At 32.7% G+C, this 17,153-nt stretch overlaps 1 protein-coding gene across 3 annotated transcripts in view; it reads right to left on the minus strand.

Annotated features, from left to right (window-relative positions):
* The window catches only part of LRP1B (LDL receptor related protein 1B), a 1,899,594-nt gene that overhangs the window by 1,597,594 nt on the left and 284,847 nt on the right, over nt 1–17,153 (minus strand). The gene's annotated exons all lie outside the window — the stretch shown is intronic.

The raw sequence follows: 17,153 nt of genomic DNA on the forward strand, positions 1-17,153 counted from the left end.
TAATTTTTGCAAAAACTGTAGAATAAGATATATAAAGGACCTAATATTACTATCAAGCGAGAGTAAGACATCGTTATATGTTAGCTATTTATATTATTACTAAAATTTATATTAGTACTAGATATCTAGCGAGTTTTTGTCCTCAATTTCTAGTCTCTGAGTTAACAAGACAGTTTGAACACTTCTGTGTTTCCACCAAATGTACTTTTATAATTGTTCCTGGATACTTGTAAGGCCTAGCTGCAAAATAAGATTTTTATTTCTCTCACTTCCACATGAACTTGAGCTAACTCAAGTGAGTAAAAAACTCTTTCTTGTTCTAAAGAGCGTATAACTAACGCAAATATGAATTACAGGAAAAAATATTTAAGGATGAGATTTTCCAAAAAAAAATTCTGCTGCTCCTATTCTGATTCTCTGACAAGGGACAAATTTGTGTCTAGCAGCATATTTTGTTCCTTTGCTTCTGATTTGAAGATGGAAGTTGACTCAGAGATATTTAAAGTTTTTCTTAGCATGCTGATATTTGAAGATGAAAAATCTGGTGGATAATTGTCTTCAGTGTTTTACTTTTGTAATGGATAAGTGGCAAGTTTGAGATTTCTGGACTCTAAAACAAGAAGGAACAGAGGGAAAGTCTGAACACCTCGTATTTTTTTTCAGTGGCTTTATCTGTTATATGTTCTCCACCTCCCCCAATAGGATTTGGATCATATACATGTCCCGTTTTGAATCTTCTTTTTTACTTAGCTGAAACTATCTTCAACGAAGTCTTAAATACCTTTTATAAGATTATGTTCAGTGCATGAATATCCTTTATTATGCCTCAACTAAATATTCAAGATTTCCACCCAGTTTGATTGCAGACATTTTCTGTAGCTTCAAAGATTTAGAATAAAGGCATGAGGAAAAGTGTATAATTTTAGATGGTTTGGGGGTTTTGTCAAATGTTGGGAAGTGTGTGGAAATGCCCCTAACAAAAAAGAATGAAAATGACACCACTGACAAAAGCAGCAAAATATTAGGTAATTATGTGCAGAGAAGACTAAAAGTAAACAGTTTTAAATAAAATCTATTTTACTTATATCTCATTCATTAAAATCATATTATATGCTTAATTGATATCATAGTAAGTGCTCCTTCTCTAATAAAAACTGTAACCTTAGAAATTTCTCCTTAAGCAGACTACTTATAGAAGAAAATAGAATAAAAATACAGCATTTGGTAACAGGACTCACTCCCAGTGGCTATCTAACATTTCTGGCAGCCTGCATTATATATGCCTTGCCTGATTTCTACAGTTTCTAACCTCATCACCTCCCACCTTTCTTATTTACTATACGAAGCAATTTTTAGCATTTGAGAAACCTAAAAGTAAATTGAATGTATGAAATAATATCTAAACCCTGGAATAGATAAATCATCTCCCCTTCTCTCAGCATATCACTCAACACAGAACACATTCCAAGATTCCTTATAAATACATATAGAAATAAAGTATTTTTATCATCTATTTAAAAATATTTATTTCAGCAACTTGCAGTGACAAATAAAACTAAGTGTTTCTTTTACCTTACTCCTACCAGTGCCTGAAATAGCTCTTTCAGTGGGACAGTCTATAATTTAAGTCTAGCTAACACCTGCACTAGTGATTCATTAGTTTAAATAAGGAAAAAAAATGTAAACTCAGTGGATTTTTATATTTACATAAATTTTAAAATCAAGAATTTAATACATTTGACCTCCTGAAAGTTTGGTGTAACTGAAAACCAAAAGGAAAACTGTAAGAGGACAAGACACTGGGTCCCAAACTGATCTCTGATGCTTTCTCCTGAACAAGTGACTCCAAGAATTTGGTCCTGATTTACATCATCTAGAAAACTAAGCATAGCTAAGTGCATCTTAAAAATTCTCCTGGTGCTCATGTAGTTTGAATACTGTGCTATTGAATACTGTGCTATGTAGACATATACATGGAATGAATATTAAAAGTTTGACACTTTTCTTATGAAATTCCCTTTAGTGAAAATTTACTAGATTAGCTTTATTTAAATGCATTAATTTCATTACTTAATAGCCTTATCTTGCCTTTGAGCAACTTACTTTCACCTACTTCATTTATCCATCTTTGCTCTCCAAGTAATTGTTGTTAATTTCTAAAAAAAATAATTTTCACATCCAAGGACTAAAAGTAGTCACTTTATATATATAAAATAATATGAATATACATTATACTTCAGCAAATTTAACTTTAAAATAAGATGACAAAAGTTCTTAACTTGATTTTCAGATCTTTGTTGTAGACATAGATTCTGTACCTTCTGTTTAGATCATTCTTCTCTCATTTTCTTATACCAAATCTATGTTATGTCTCCATTTAAAAGTCAGTTCTGGGAGATCTGACTTTGTGTTTTTCAATAGCTCTCTGTATTTCTGTTCTCACAATTCAAATCATGGTTTACTCTCACACATTTTTCAATTGTCTACCTTTTTTCCTAGAACATAAGCCTAAATGAAGGTAGGAACTATGTCTTTTTCATCATTCTATACTGAATATATAAAACTCATTAAGTTTTGGAATAAAGAAGCTGAAATAATAATTAAAACATTGGAATCAGACATTTGGGGCATTTTTATGGCTCCAGTAAATTATTTAAATTTTCCAAATATCAGTTTTTGTCAGGTATAAAATAGGAATAGCATGCTTTGTTGTTGTGTTGAGAAAATCATATAGTATTATATACAAATTATTATAGTCTGTGGCATGCACAGTGGGGGCGCTCAAAAAATATTATTATTTCAGAACAAAAAATTGGGCTTTCTCTTCAGTTCTTTAAATCATATTAACTTTGATTAGCTAAAAACAGCACCAGTGGTTTCATTGCTCAAGCCTCACTGTTCAAGGAATCCTAACTTTTCTCGTTTTTTTCTCTAGTTCAATGCCTTTCTACATTGGAAATTCTGGTCAATGGTCACTCTAATAGTACTGGAGCCTTGACCAATGGTAAATACCTAGTCTACATTTACACTGTAATATTCTTTTCTCATTCTCATATGTCTTTCTAGTCTTGACCAGGATTTTCATTTTCACATTCTTTATACAAGAAATAATAGCCTTTGCTGAGAATACAGTTGGAATGACTATCACTCAATTTTTAAAAAATCTTTCTTCTCTGGTTCATTTATTTTTTTTTTCTTAAGAACTGATCCATTTGTACAATTACGGTTTCTTCAATCAAATTCAGACATTAGAATTGACCTTGAAAATTGGTCTACTTGGTGGGCAATAATTATCCTATCTCTTTCTCTCTCACACACACACACACACACACACACACACACACACACAATTTGTTAAGTGAACAGAACAAATGAACAAAGAAGTAGGCAGAAATAGTAGTATATAAATTGAGGTAAATGAACTACAATATCATCTTTCACAAACATACCTATTTTCTCTGGTTCAAACTGTCTTTAGGCGAGCTCGAAAAATTTGTACTATTAACAAAGTTGAAATTATTCTGATGAACATTTTGACTATGCATTCAAATAGTTCAGTCATTCTGTGGCCACCAGCTTCCTAAGCAGAATCACAGTCACAGAGGCATTCTAATGCTGTGGAAAAGAATCCTCAGTCTAATTTTCAAAAACTTATTGGATGTAAATAATAATTAAGATATAAGTTATACATCAGCTACCAAGAATTGTTTTTTGTTCTAACTCCATGAAACCAAGTCAACCTTGTCAAATATTTACAAGTCAAGCATTTACAGTTAAGATTGTAGAAATGAAGTCTCAATTATTTGTTCAAACTAAAACTCTATTTGTTTCACAAAATGAAGCAGGTATATTCTAAAAGTTGTATCTTTTATTTAACTACTCACAGAACAAAATACCACATTATTTTTTCATTATTTCAAAGTTCTACCTCAAATTCTACATATTTTATTTTTGTTACTAACACTATTTTTCATTTCAATTGCCTGTCTTTATATACAGGCAGCAATTTTCTCCCTAAGAGGAAAATATGATATTTGGAAATAAAAGCAAGGAATATTGTACTAAGATACCTAGTATTACAGTTTTTAGAATGAGATTTCTTATTATTTCTCATGTAATTGCAGTTAAATCAACTGAATTAATTTCACTAAAATAAATTTTAAAATAATTTAATAAATAGCTAATTTCTTAGTAGATTCTACAACATAAAGTATATAATTTCTTCCTCTCTAAACGTATTAAATGTTTTGATAAACTATAAGAGACATCAGGCTGGAAATTAATCCCACCATTTAAACTTGGTAAGAAAAAAGATTTGTCTGACTTAGAGTGTATTATTAATTTCACATCTATTCTTTGTCATTGTATTCTCATCAATAACACAGGAATATTAGGACTTGAATGTACTTGGGGCTCATGAGGAATTAATTCCAAATGCAATATGAATATTGCAGGGAAAAGATTTCAAAAATATTTCAGAGTAAAACAGTGACAGAGTGACAGGAATAGTATATTCATTAATTAATAAACATTTGTAGAGCTTCTTGAAGTCCTGCCCCAAGTTCATCCAAACATGAGTAACCTCAAGACAATAACAATTTAGCAATGAGATTAAGCATAAATTAAAATTACAATGCACATTGCCAAGAGCGAGTCATTAGCCTAGAAATGATGCTGTCATATCTCCAGCTCCTAACTCACAAAAAACATTCAATAAGTAGCCAACGGAAAAAAAAATAAATTGATGGTTGTTTTATTAGAAGTATGTACAAAAGGCTAAAGGAATAGAGATGAGGGCACCCTTCCTTTCTTTCAAGGGTAGAAAAAGGCAAAATGAGAAAAGGAAAGGCCTAAGAAAGAACATCTTTGAGTGGGGTTTGAAGGATGAAGATGGATTTCCTAGGGATAGGAGGGAATGATGGAAGAGGCAAAACTTACCACTTGAAGAGGATTAGGAAAAGTAAAGGGCATTGCAGAAAGAAGAAACAGTATACACAAAGGCACTTAGAGAAAAACTGAGCAATCTCTCCAGTGAGTATTTCAAAACTACGTGATTATAGGCGTGCCTGGTAGGGAGTTCAAAACTGAGGATGGACACTGATGGTACTGTTATGTTTTGAAGGGCTGCATTTGGTATGCTCACGTTTTCGACTTTATTTCACCAGTTGAAGGAAGACACTGAATATTTTAAAATGGGTTTAAAACAATGTTTTAAAGAAGCAGCATCTGGCTATGCTGCAGAACTTAATGAACACTTCGGAGAATGATGCAGAAATAGAAAATATTGACAAAAACAGGCAGACTAATTAAGAAGGTATTACAATACCTTCTCAGCCATATAACGAAGAGACCCTAAACTCAAACTGTGAAAAGAAAGGAGAGATAGAAACAAAGTGGCTATTTCAGAGGTAAAACTGATGGGACCAGATAAAGCAGTAAAAAAACTTTGCAGGAAATGAAGCTGTTTCTGGTGCAGGTGTTTTTCTGAGTGGAGGTACCATTAAATAAGGTAGGTAGGGTAAATAAAATTTCAGTTGGAAAGCTAACGAGTTCTGTTTTGAGCATATGTTATTGAAGGCAATGATATGAGATTCTGAGATTGATGTCCAAAAGCAGCTAGAAATGTGGTTCCAGGACAAAGGCAGGTGGACAGGGCCACTATGGTGCTATCAAGTGTCCAGTTTCACAGAGTGGGTAAGAAGGATTGGGATCAGAAGTTGCACAGTTGGAAAGGAAATAACTGGAAAACTTTTCAGTGACTACGATGAAGAAAAAAGAAAAACTTTACAGTACGCTGAGAAAGTGAACTCAAGAAGCAATGTAGAATGATAGTTCCATAATCAAGCAAAAAAGTGCAGAGTGAATAAGACAGGTGGAAGGTGAAAGGGATGTATTTACTTGTGATATTTGTGGATTTTTGCAGAAGATACACAAGAAAAAAGACCTTAGACTTAGGATATAAAGTCAAGGATGTATAAAGATCAATTGATATTGTATAGAGGAATCTCATAAGAGAGTGAATAAATAGAAACAATGTTACCACATTATTTCTTTAATCAGTTCATAAAAAATGTTTCTGATTATCTACATGATGAGTCAAAGCAATGTACACATTAAGTGGGGTCAGCAAAATATATTAACTTTGGAATAACATTTGTATATTAACTGAACTTGTGGGACACAAAATTATTGATTTTCCAGGGTTGGTTGACCTGTACTGATCTAAATCACTCATCTTTTATAGGTCCAGGATGGAAATACTTGTGTGAGAGTCAGCCAGGCAGTAAACACAGAGCAGTGTTATCACTGGTAAATCACATCATCTAGCCCGAATCAGTTCCACTATCACCCTGTCAACTCCAGTGTGGACAAAGGGCTTTCCAAATATTCTGCATAATATTCTCATGGATTTGCATAGAGATTCTTCACCCAAATGAAAGACACTCAATCATATTAATGACTGTCAGAAGGTGGTGGTGGGGGGAGGGGAGGGAAGGTGGCATTTAATATATAATTGAAAAAAAATTGCCTAGAAAGCAAGAAAAAGATATAAATAGAAGAGAGGTTGAATAAGTGAAGCAGTATAACATAATTTATGGTATAGGGATTAAAGTCTGTTACTTCAGTTCTATAGCTAAGCATTTTATTTACCTCATCTTTTGCAGTCATATTTTACAGAAGCTTATTTTTTAAAACAAATTTAGGACATTACTGAAAGAAAGCTGAGATTTATTAATTCAAAAACAAAATGTATTACATGGCTATAAAGTGGTAAGTAGTGAGGTATACACACACACACACACAGACATATATATTTAAAAACAAATTTGGTCATAACATATATAATATGAATATACATGTACATATAGATCTAAATGTATGATGATTCCTCAGTTGATAAATTATTGTCTAAATGATTACATTTTAAGGAAAAAACTATAAACATTTTAATATCTGATATGTAATGATTACAAAACAGAAATAGAAGGAATGAATAATTTGCTTGATATGGATTCTTCAGGACACATATAAACAAAATGGAACAAATCCTACACATGTGCTGCCAAATCTGTGCCTAACAGATGTGTATGTCTTGTGAAAAGAGAACCCTCTATTTTAATTTACCTGTTTGGGAAATTAGAATGTCTTAAAACTGATGGCAACTTCAATTCAAATATTTGTGAGGATTAGTCAAAATATTACAGCCACTATTGTGCAAACTCACAGTAATATAATTTATAATTTATTAGGATGATTAAATGTAGCATTAAAAATTCAAGTGTCAACCTATTTGGAGATACTTACATAGATTAATTGTTATTTTTTCTGATTAAAAGTATTTTGCTTTTCCACCATATAAAAATATGGATATGATACATCTATGATAAATACATTTCTAAAAACTTATTTCCTCTGACTATCCTATTTTTTTTCTCTTTTATTCCTAAGACTGCCCAGTGTTTTATTTTTTCAAATCCTTCCTCTAAGCAGAATCAAACAGCTGCTAGAGATAAAAAGAGCATCACCGGCAAATATTAAAACTGTCACTTGATGGAAGCTGGGGATCACCATTAGGCCTTCAAGCAATAACCTGCAGTGTAATTTTGTAACACATATATCAATTAATTTTGTATTACTGTCACACACTCTAACTGCTAACAGTATTTCTTTATGCTGCTATCTTAATTGCAATATATTTGTGCGGAACATGAATATCTCAAGATCAAAATACATCTTGTTAGAAAAATATCTAAGCCGTTTGGTGAAATTTATTAAAAATGTATAAATCTAACAGTAGGTAATTTTTGGTCTTATTTAAAAATAATCTTAAAAATTAGCAATGCAGATTTTCCATATCTTTAGATCCTATGACAAAGTAATTTTTTTTCTAATTGGAACATTTAAGGATATAATTTGTACTTTGTGATTTTCTTTAAAACAATTAAGTTTATATGTGTAAATACAAAAATAAAAGATATGGTGCTTGGGTTTTCAACAACTCCTTATTTTGGTGAGATGGAGGTGTTAGAGGGTTAATCCAGAAAAATGGGATTATAACTGAGTCTATTATTATTCAGTCCAGCAGGTATGCAGGGCTAGGAAAGGCAACTGACATTAGAATGAGTAGAACATTTGGGGAACATCATAAGGATATAGACTATCAGGGAAAGATAGTACAGTTCTGCCAGTTCTAAGACCACTAAGAAATAGTAAGGAGAGAGTCATCAAAGGGGTTTTTATAAAAGTTGCCATCGAAGGGTAAGACATTAAAATTCACAGTGATGGCCTTTAAGAAGATGCTTTTTCTTTTCTGAATGTCACTTTTTTAACCTTTATTAATATATGGGTTTACACCAAATTAGAGGATTTTTCTTATCCTCGAACTCATTCCATTTTTCTATAAATCCTGGGAAGCATGATGCAAATTTTGTGCCTGTACAATGAGAAGTTATGATGAAAAAATCTTCAGCTTTCATTGTAATCTTAAGGGTATCCTTGACCTTATAAAAGGCTAGAAGCACTAATTGATTATCTTTACATTTCACCCATATATTCTATAATAATATGGCTTTTGTAGTCATAAACTGAATAAGCCTGCAAGACTGAAAGTTCTTTGGAGAAACTGGATTTACCTGCTTCATCTCAGTATCTACCAAAGCATCTAATGCCATGTGTAGTACATAGTAAAGGAAATCTAATGAATGCTGCTTGAATCAATCAATGAATAAATAAATGAATGGAAATAAAGGACTAGGTAGATGAATAGATATTTTTGTGTGTAGTATAGACTATTAAACTTCACCAACACATTAACCTAAATGTTCTTCATTTAAAATGCAGCTAAGAAATAAGTTATTTTCCATCAAACTCCCAGAGAAATATCTACAGTGTTTATGTAATTGATATGGTGAAAAAATGTATGTCATGTTGTTGCAAATACAGTCAAGGAAAACTAGAACAGAGAGTATACACTAGGAGAATAGGAGTAAACGTGGAGCCGGGTAGGGTCCCGTGGGTTTAGCAAAACACAGAGTAGCTTGTTAACCCACAATCTCTTATCTCATATTTATTCACTAAACACATTTATTGGGTACCTACTGTCTGCCAAATAGATCTTAAGCTAGAAGTGGGGGATGCAGAAATACAAAGCTATAATAATCTATAACGTAAGCTATCTCACAGTCTCATGAAGACATAGACATGACAACCAACAAATAAAATTAACAAGGAAGGTTTGAACAAAATGCAGTGTGAATAAAGTAGCACCAAAACGACCAGAACTGACTCCTGGCCTATAGAGCCACTCCACTGCATTAACCTGGTGAATTGATGGAAGTCATGATTGATGTCATTGATTTCCTTCTCAAACTCTTCCTGTACTAACTTTTGCATCTCTCAGCTATTTAGTGACTGTTTGAGTCCTCCCTCCCATCATTCAACTGAACTATGATAACTAGGATTTCTTTTTGCATTTGGGAGGACAAAATTAGGTAATAAGTGATGAGCACATTATTAAATACATCTCCACTTTATAGTCAACATATTTAGACATTTAACTTCTCATATGATCCTTGTATAGAGGACATTTTTCTGTATTTTGGTTGAATGCTTCAGCATGCCTCAGTGACTTGATAATTAAGCATTGATATACAAATTGCAACCTTTCAGGATGAATTTCACTTATTTGCTCTTAGTAGAGAAAGTATATTTCTAGGACGTAAAATAATTTACATGTTCGCTGGATTGAAAACTCTTCAAAAGCATATAAAAGAGAATTTTTAAATGAAGTGAATGGGAAAATTGATTATGAGATTTGGAATTCAGATTAGTATTTGCTTTTTCCCTTCTCTGTTATAGTACTATGATGTAGCTTCCTATTACAGGTTAAGGTCAAGTTAAGAAGCTGAGTAACCTGGCCAGCAGTCTGCTTCAGGAGAACTGTTGAACCATTAATTAGAGCTGTGACTCCTGAGTTTGGAAAAGGAGAGGACATTGATGGTTTTCATTTGTTTGTTTTTAATTTATATGCTTACATTGATAGGTACAGTATATATTATACTTTAACAAAGATGTCTTAAATCTTAAAGAGTGCTTCATGTTCTTCTTACTGGATTTAAAAGGTGTTCTGGCAGAACAAGGTAGGTTATTGTCATCCAAAATTGTGTTTCCTATATCTGAACCATTTGATTACATGGGAGAAGAGGCTATAGAGAACCAAATGGTGAGGTGTTACTGCTACACATGTACCTTACATAGTGGAAATACTAGCCAAACAAAGACAATAAACTAATGCTTTTATCAAGCCAGAATTACAAGTTTCCCAACACATGCATCTTACTTTTCATATGTATATACACAAACATGCACCATTGAGCATGCTTACATATTTTAAATGCTACCCAAACACTGAGACAAGAAGGATTCCCATCAGATGTCATTCCAAATTAATTTAGATTAAAATTAAAAACAAAACAAAACTTTGGATTCATATGGGAATCTTCTCTTGTGGCTAGTCACTATAAATTGGTAAACAAGGCTTGTACATTTGTGCCCTCGGTTAGGCTGTAACAGTGGTTAGGCTTAAGCGGTGGTTCCTTTTCTTGACTATACTGAGACACTTGAAGTGCTGAAGGTTGTATTTCAACTTTAGCAAGACCTATGAAAGTAAAGAAAATCTATCTGATACTGCTGAAAGAGAAATGAACCTGAATGAGACTCTATAGATACTAAGTAATGAAAAATAATTACACTGCTTCATCCTACTCAGCAAACAGCCTAATTTACTGAACAAGAAATCACAATAGATTTACCCTAATAAAAAACACAGATCAATTGTTTACTTGCAAACCACAACTAATAAAATGTATCTTAATGAAAGGCATTAATAATTTAGTATTACAATAATCCACAAACATGTGTCTTCCCAGCATTTGTTAAAGAAAAATAAAATAAAATTAATAGCCCTGGAATGAGTTTTTAATGCCCTCTAGCAAGAACTCCTCATTTTTATATTGTGCCATGTTTTCCTTTAGTCCTCTCAGGTAGAGTTGGCCAAAGATTTTTATTTAATGAGTGAATACTTTTCATACAAATTAATCATGTAGAAATATGAACGAGTTATTAAGGTAGATTTGAAAACTGAAACAACTATATACCAATTTGTATAATTGAGGTTATATTTGAAAAAGAAAACCCATAGAAACCCTAGGTCATTAGGTCATCGTATTAGAACAAATTTCCTTTTTTTTTTTTTTTTTTTTTTTTGAGACGGAATCTCGCTCTGTCGCCCACGCTGGAGTGCAGTGGCGCCATCTCGGCTCACTGCAACTTCCGCCTCCCGGGTTCACGCCATTCTCCTGCCTCAGCTTCCCAAGTAGCTGGGACTGCAGGCACCCGCCACTACGCCCAGCTAATTTTTTGTACTTTTAGTAGAGACTCTGCGTGTTAGCCAGGATGGTCTCTGTCTCCTGACCTCGTGATCCGCCCGCCTCGGCCTCCCAAAGTGCTGGGATTACAGGTGAGAGCCACCACGCCCGGCATTATTAGAACAAATTTCATCCTTGGAGTGCTTATTGAGCATCCGCTTCCAGCCCAGTACTGTTTTAGACACTTGACAAGCTATGCAACTAGAGATCAATGGTCTCATGGGAGAAAAGAAATACAAAATAACATAAGTGAATTCTATAATAGGTTAGAAGGTGGTAAATTAGCACTGCCAGACAAAATACAGGAGAAAGATGGCCAGTGATTTACTGGATATATACCTCTCAGCGGAGGTAACGAAATGTTTCAGAATAATTGTTATACCCAGTCACTACTACAATCCAAATATGGACTTCCTTTACAGAATCATATTTCATAATAAGTACCTAAATTCATTATTTTAAAGAAAATGCTAATTCCATGCATCTAGGGAAAAAAAAAAAAACCGTGGTGGTGCTTTGTTTTTAAGAGATAAATTGGCTTTTCAACCACAAGTGAAGTATTTCTACCAGTTATGAGGTATATGGCCTCAGAGTCAATACTTTCTGGAACAAAGTAGCTTAGCAGTCTCTCAGCAATTGAATCTGGGTTAATGTAGGTTTGTTAAAAATTAGCTCTTTATTTAAATTTTTTAATCTTCAAAATAGTTCTACTTGAACCAAGGATAAGTAATGATGTAATTGCATGCCTAAATTAAAATTGGAGAGGGCTTATTGAGTGTTACTCTTGTGAGCATATGTAAATTATCATAATTTCCATAATAAAATAACATGAATTTATTTAATTGGTGGATATAGAAAAAGTGACTGCCTTATTTTTAAAAACATAACTTTCTAAATGACACATAAGTAATTTAGCCCTCACCAGATTCTCGTTTGTTACATAATGGATGTATTTACATTTGCAAAATTGAGTGTTAAAATGGAAAAAAGTATATATTTTTCCTTCATAATGCTTACATATTAGAAGAGCTTGTTGCCTGAGTTTACTGGATCTGAATAAATGTCCTCCCTCCCCAACTCCTCCCTGATGTTTTATTCTCTGTGTGTAATCGTAGCTTCATTGCTATCAATGCCTTTCCAGATACTGTTTGTTTTGTATTCTTTGGCTTGAAAGCAGGGTTGATGAACATTTTTACATGGCACGAAGTGAGAGAGAGTTAAGCAACAACCAAAACTTCAGCCTTCAGTGTAAGCCAGTGAGTGATTATCAAACTGTTCAGCTAGTAGGTGATGTCTAGAAGTAATGGTTTAACAATATGGGTTATTGACAGGTCCTCATATAATGGTAGCAAGAGGGTTACCTGCTGAAAATATTACATCATATAATAACTACACTGTGTTAAGATAAAAAGCCACAATAATAAAGATATGTTTGTGAAACAACCAATGTAAGTACAATTAATGATTTGCATTTCAATATTAATATATGCTCATTTTTGACAGGACATATTTTACAAGCTAGAGTAAGTATTAAAGAGTGAGAAAAAAAGTCAGGGTAGAAAATCTAAATCTAAGACATTTGTATCCCTTAAGAAAAAGAGATCTGAAAATTGTGATTTATTTTTAATGCCATGTGTAAGAGTTGGTTGCTAACTGGACGACTGTCATTTTTTGGTGGAAGAGAATCCTTGCCAAATGAGATCATACTTTCTGAAACAAATTTCTGACTTTGGTTTTTGTATCCTTTCCATCCTTCTAGAAATTGCTTATGATAGATGTAATTACAGTGAACCCTAATTATCAACTTACATATTTGTGTTTCTTATTAGGTTAATTTAAAAGGTAATATAATTTAGGTAAAATTTGAGATTTGTCTACCACAGAGAAAGAAGAGCCTAAAGATTAGGAATGTTCTTAGTCAGTGTTTTGCTAGATAGTAATCTTAACCTCTTTTCAACTAGACGATTTGAACCTTACTTTTCAAATAGGTAAATCTAAATAAGTCATTTTATGTCTCTTTCCCTTGGTTCCTCACCTAAAAATGGGGATAATTATAATGCCTGCTTTACATGGTAATTTTGGATTTAATGTATTATACAAAAAATGATTTTAAAAGTTCCTGACACAAAATAGTGTTAAATGTGTCAATTATGATTATTAGCTACTTGTTCATCTTCATAAAATGTGTCACACTGTAAGTGGTTAATAAATATTTTATCACACAGCAAATCAATAATAAATAACACATGGATGAATGAATGGATGGATAATGAAACAATCGGAAAGAGCAGTACTTTTTATTAAAGATCAAATATTTTACAAAGTAATGTTGCCTGTTTAGTTTCATACATATCTGATTTTAATGACCTGTCAAATACATTTAGAATTCAGAGTCCTGGTGCACAACTAATTCTGATCAGTCGTATTGATCACATTTTGCTAGAGGGTTACAATATCTCACAATAAATGCTTCAAATAAATACTTCAAGTAAAATCCCAGAAATATTTCATATCTAATGAAAATCATTTAAAAAACTAATACTGTGGCTTACCAGCAACAAATATTAAAACTATTTATTTTTTTAAACTGAGAGGGAAAATGAAACCTAGAGACCTTTTAGTAGTTTTAGTCCAATTGAAGATATAGCTAGAAATCTCTTGAAAAAGCTCCTTAAACCAGTGGGTTTCTTCTGTTCTTTTTTGTTTCTCTAATGAATATTTTTGCACATATTTTGGCTATATTTATAAATGTACTTGAAATATCATTGATAGTAACCTTTGTGGCAAAGCTGGAGCAGTAATATTTATATAGGACAATGTTCTGGAATGAAGCAAGCATTTAACACATTGGGAAGTTAGGGGTTGGTTACATATAATCCATCATTATTATAGAATGGTGCTGTCCTGAATTTCATCCATTTAAACAGGTCACTCTGTAATTCCGATAAAGCTTTTAGAAATTGTTTAACCAGACTGTACACAAGATAATGCCAAGGCTAATTTCTACATTTTAATTAAATGCATGATCACAATCTAAGTTGTGCCCCGAGTGAGAATATAACATGAGGGCACAGCTCATCCATGTTCTACTTGATTGCAAACCTTTTATTTGAATGACTAAAAATAACCTACAGATAAAAACGTATGCCTAGCTCAATAATACAATTAGAAAATATTTCCTCTATGGACTACTCCTCTTTTTATAATTATTAACTTAAAATGCATTTCAGAGATGGTATAGAGACAGCCTGGACCAGGTATTATTTCCCAATATAACAGTTTAACAAGACGGCAAAGCATATTCCATTGTGCTACAAATTATTGCACAGGGCCTTCTCAGGGTTGGAAGCAGCAAATTTCTACATCCTTTTAATCACTGGCCTCCTTGCTGAGGCAGTCAGTATGAGTGGAGAGACCACAGGCAATGGTGTATGCTCTTCACCTCATTTACCCAGCAAATGCTTTACCCAGGGAACCATAACATCAGCCGGCAGGAATGACAATTTAAACCTACCAATACAAATGGGGATCCTAAGGCTTTCATTCACTCCTTCATTGCAGACTGCCTTAGATCCTATGTAATTGCACCTTCCCTTCTCACACTGCACTATGAGCAATGAAGAACTGGAACTAGGAAGAAAAGAAAAAGGATGGCCTCCTTTAGATTTGGGCCTCATTCTATACATCAGTTAGGGGTATGGATAAGGAGAGTCAGAAAACTAGTTTATCTTTCTATCTGCCCCCTAGCCAAACATCTACTTACCTTCTACTCATTCAGGCACAGGTTAAATTTTGCTTTTTCAGGGAAGCATTCTCTGCCTACCCAGAGTGGGTAAATTTATTTCATTGCTAATCCCATATGTTTTTACAGAACTCTTTATCATTTTTGCTACTATGAAAATGGAAATTAAATCACTCACAGTATTAGTAACTTTGTTACCTAGCTATGTTCCATAACTTTGTTACATAACTATGTTAGATAACTTTGTTGCATAACTATCTTACATAACTTTGTTAACCTATGATGCTAGTGACAGAGTGGCAGTTTTTGTTTTTTCATTGATATTAACCCAGCACTTAGAACAATGTCAGTATATGGTAAATAGGCAACACGCATTTTCAGATAAATAAACGAGCAAACTTGTTTATGTCTAGCTTAAAAACAATTCTAATTTTACTTACCAAATTACAATGGGCATGATAAAAAGAAGACTCACATCCACTGAAACCTCTTTGTCTTAGAACATTTTGTGTTCAAATATATCAGTTCAGATATCATAGGAGAAAATTATTGTGTCAAACTACTATAAAGTTATATAGTTAAATTTGAAACATCATGATTTAAGGTGCTAAATATTGACATAATTCAATTATTTTCTTATTAGACAATTTCAATCATATTCCCAAAACAGCATTGTCTAAAAGCATTTGAGATGCTATGATTATATAGACTTCTATATTCTTATTCCAATGAGATTAGAATTTTCAAAATTTCTTCATGTTTGCCTTATACCTATTTGGTACTTTCTCAACTTCTTGAACTTTTCTCTTGTCAAAAACTTAATCTCTTTTATTCAATTTAAATATATTTAAATATATTTTATCACCTGAAAATTAGCTAATCTTAATAGGTGGCAAATGATTCCTGTAAATAATTCAGTACTGTTATGGTCTTCATTTTCAGGAAAAAAAAAATTCACTAACAGGTATTTTAAGAATCTTTCAGCTTCAAGGTTATTTTTTAGATAGAAAACAATGACTGAATTTATCAAAGTAATATCACAGTCTTTTTTCCCATAAAGACCTCTGCAGTAATTTTTAATAAACCAGTTATATTAGTTTAAAAACAAAAAGCAAATGGGATCAGGTTTAAATAAGAATAAAAAACTGCTTGGAGGTAAAAATGGAAGAATTCATAGAAAAAAAATGCTGGTTTTTGGAAATATCAAATACGTTTCCAGTTTATTTAGGCAAATGCATTAAATTTAATAATTTTCCGCAAGATAATAGCTATTCCTCTCTTCAGGTAGATTCATATATATGAAAATATCAGCTTAAAATTGTGAAGCCTCCTAGAGGGAGGGAAGCAGACAGAAGTTTAGGGGGACTGCAGTGTCTGAGGCATTCTTCCTTTAGGCCACCCATTCTTACCTTAAGTCATATGGAAGGGATAAAAATGACTCTAGTCTTTTGTACCTCTCTGAGGGTAGACATTTCTAGCCAAAGCTGAGACATTAAATGCAAAAAGTGGGAGATACTAGAGAAATGCAAACACTGAAAATGAAAGACAATATCATTACTTATAACAGCAGAAGCAGAGCTAACATAGAAAAATAACAAGAATATAAAAGAAACATTATAAACATTGTCAGAAGAATATAGGAGAACTGGAAAATACTGAAAAGAAAACAATTACTTTTTAAAAAGAGAAAGGATATAAAATATCATGACAAATAAAAATGTCACTGTATATGTTGAACAGCAGAACAGATTAATCTGAAGGAAAAAATAATGAGCTGAAACTTCAGGCCATAGAACTCTCTCAGAAGGTACCAAAAGGAAATTTAAAGAGAGAGAGAGAGAGAACAGTTGAGAGATGTGAAAAATAGGAGAAAATAGGAGAAGACAATAACGGTAAAAGTTAATGATGTAAAGAGTAAAAATGGACAGAAATAATTAACAAAACCACAAGCTTTGCAAAGACAGATTTCTGCAAACAAGGAAAAA

This window comes from Homo sapiens, chromosome 2 (genome assembly GCF_000001405.40).
Source record: "Homo sapiens chromosome 2, GRCh38.p14 Primary Assembly".
NCBI lineage: Eukaryota > Metazoa > Chordata > Mammalia > Primates > Hominidae > Homo > Homo sapiens.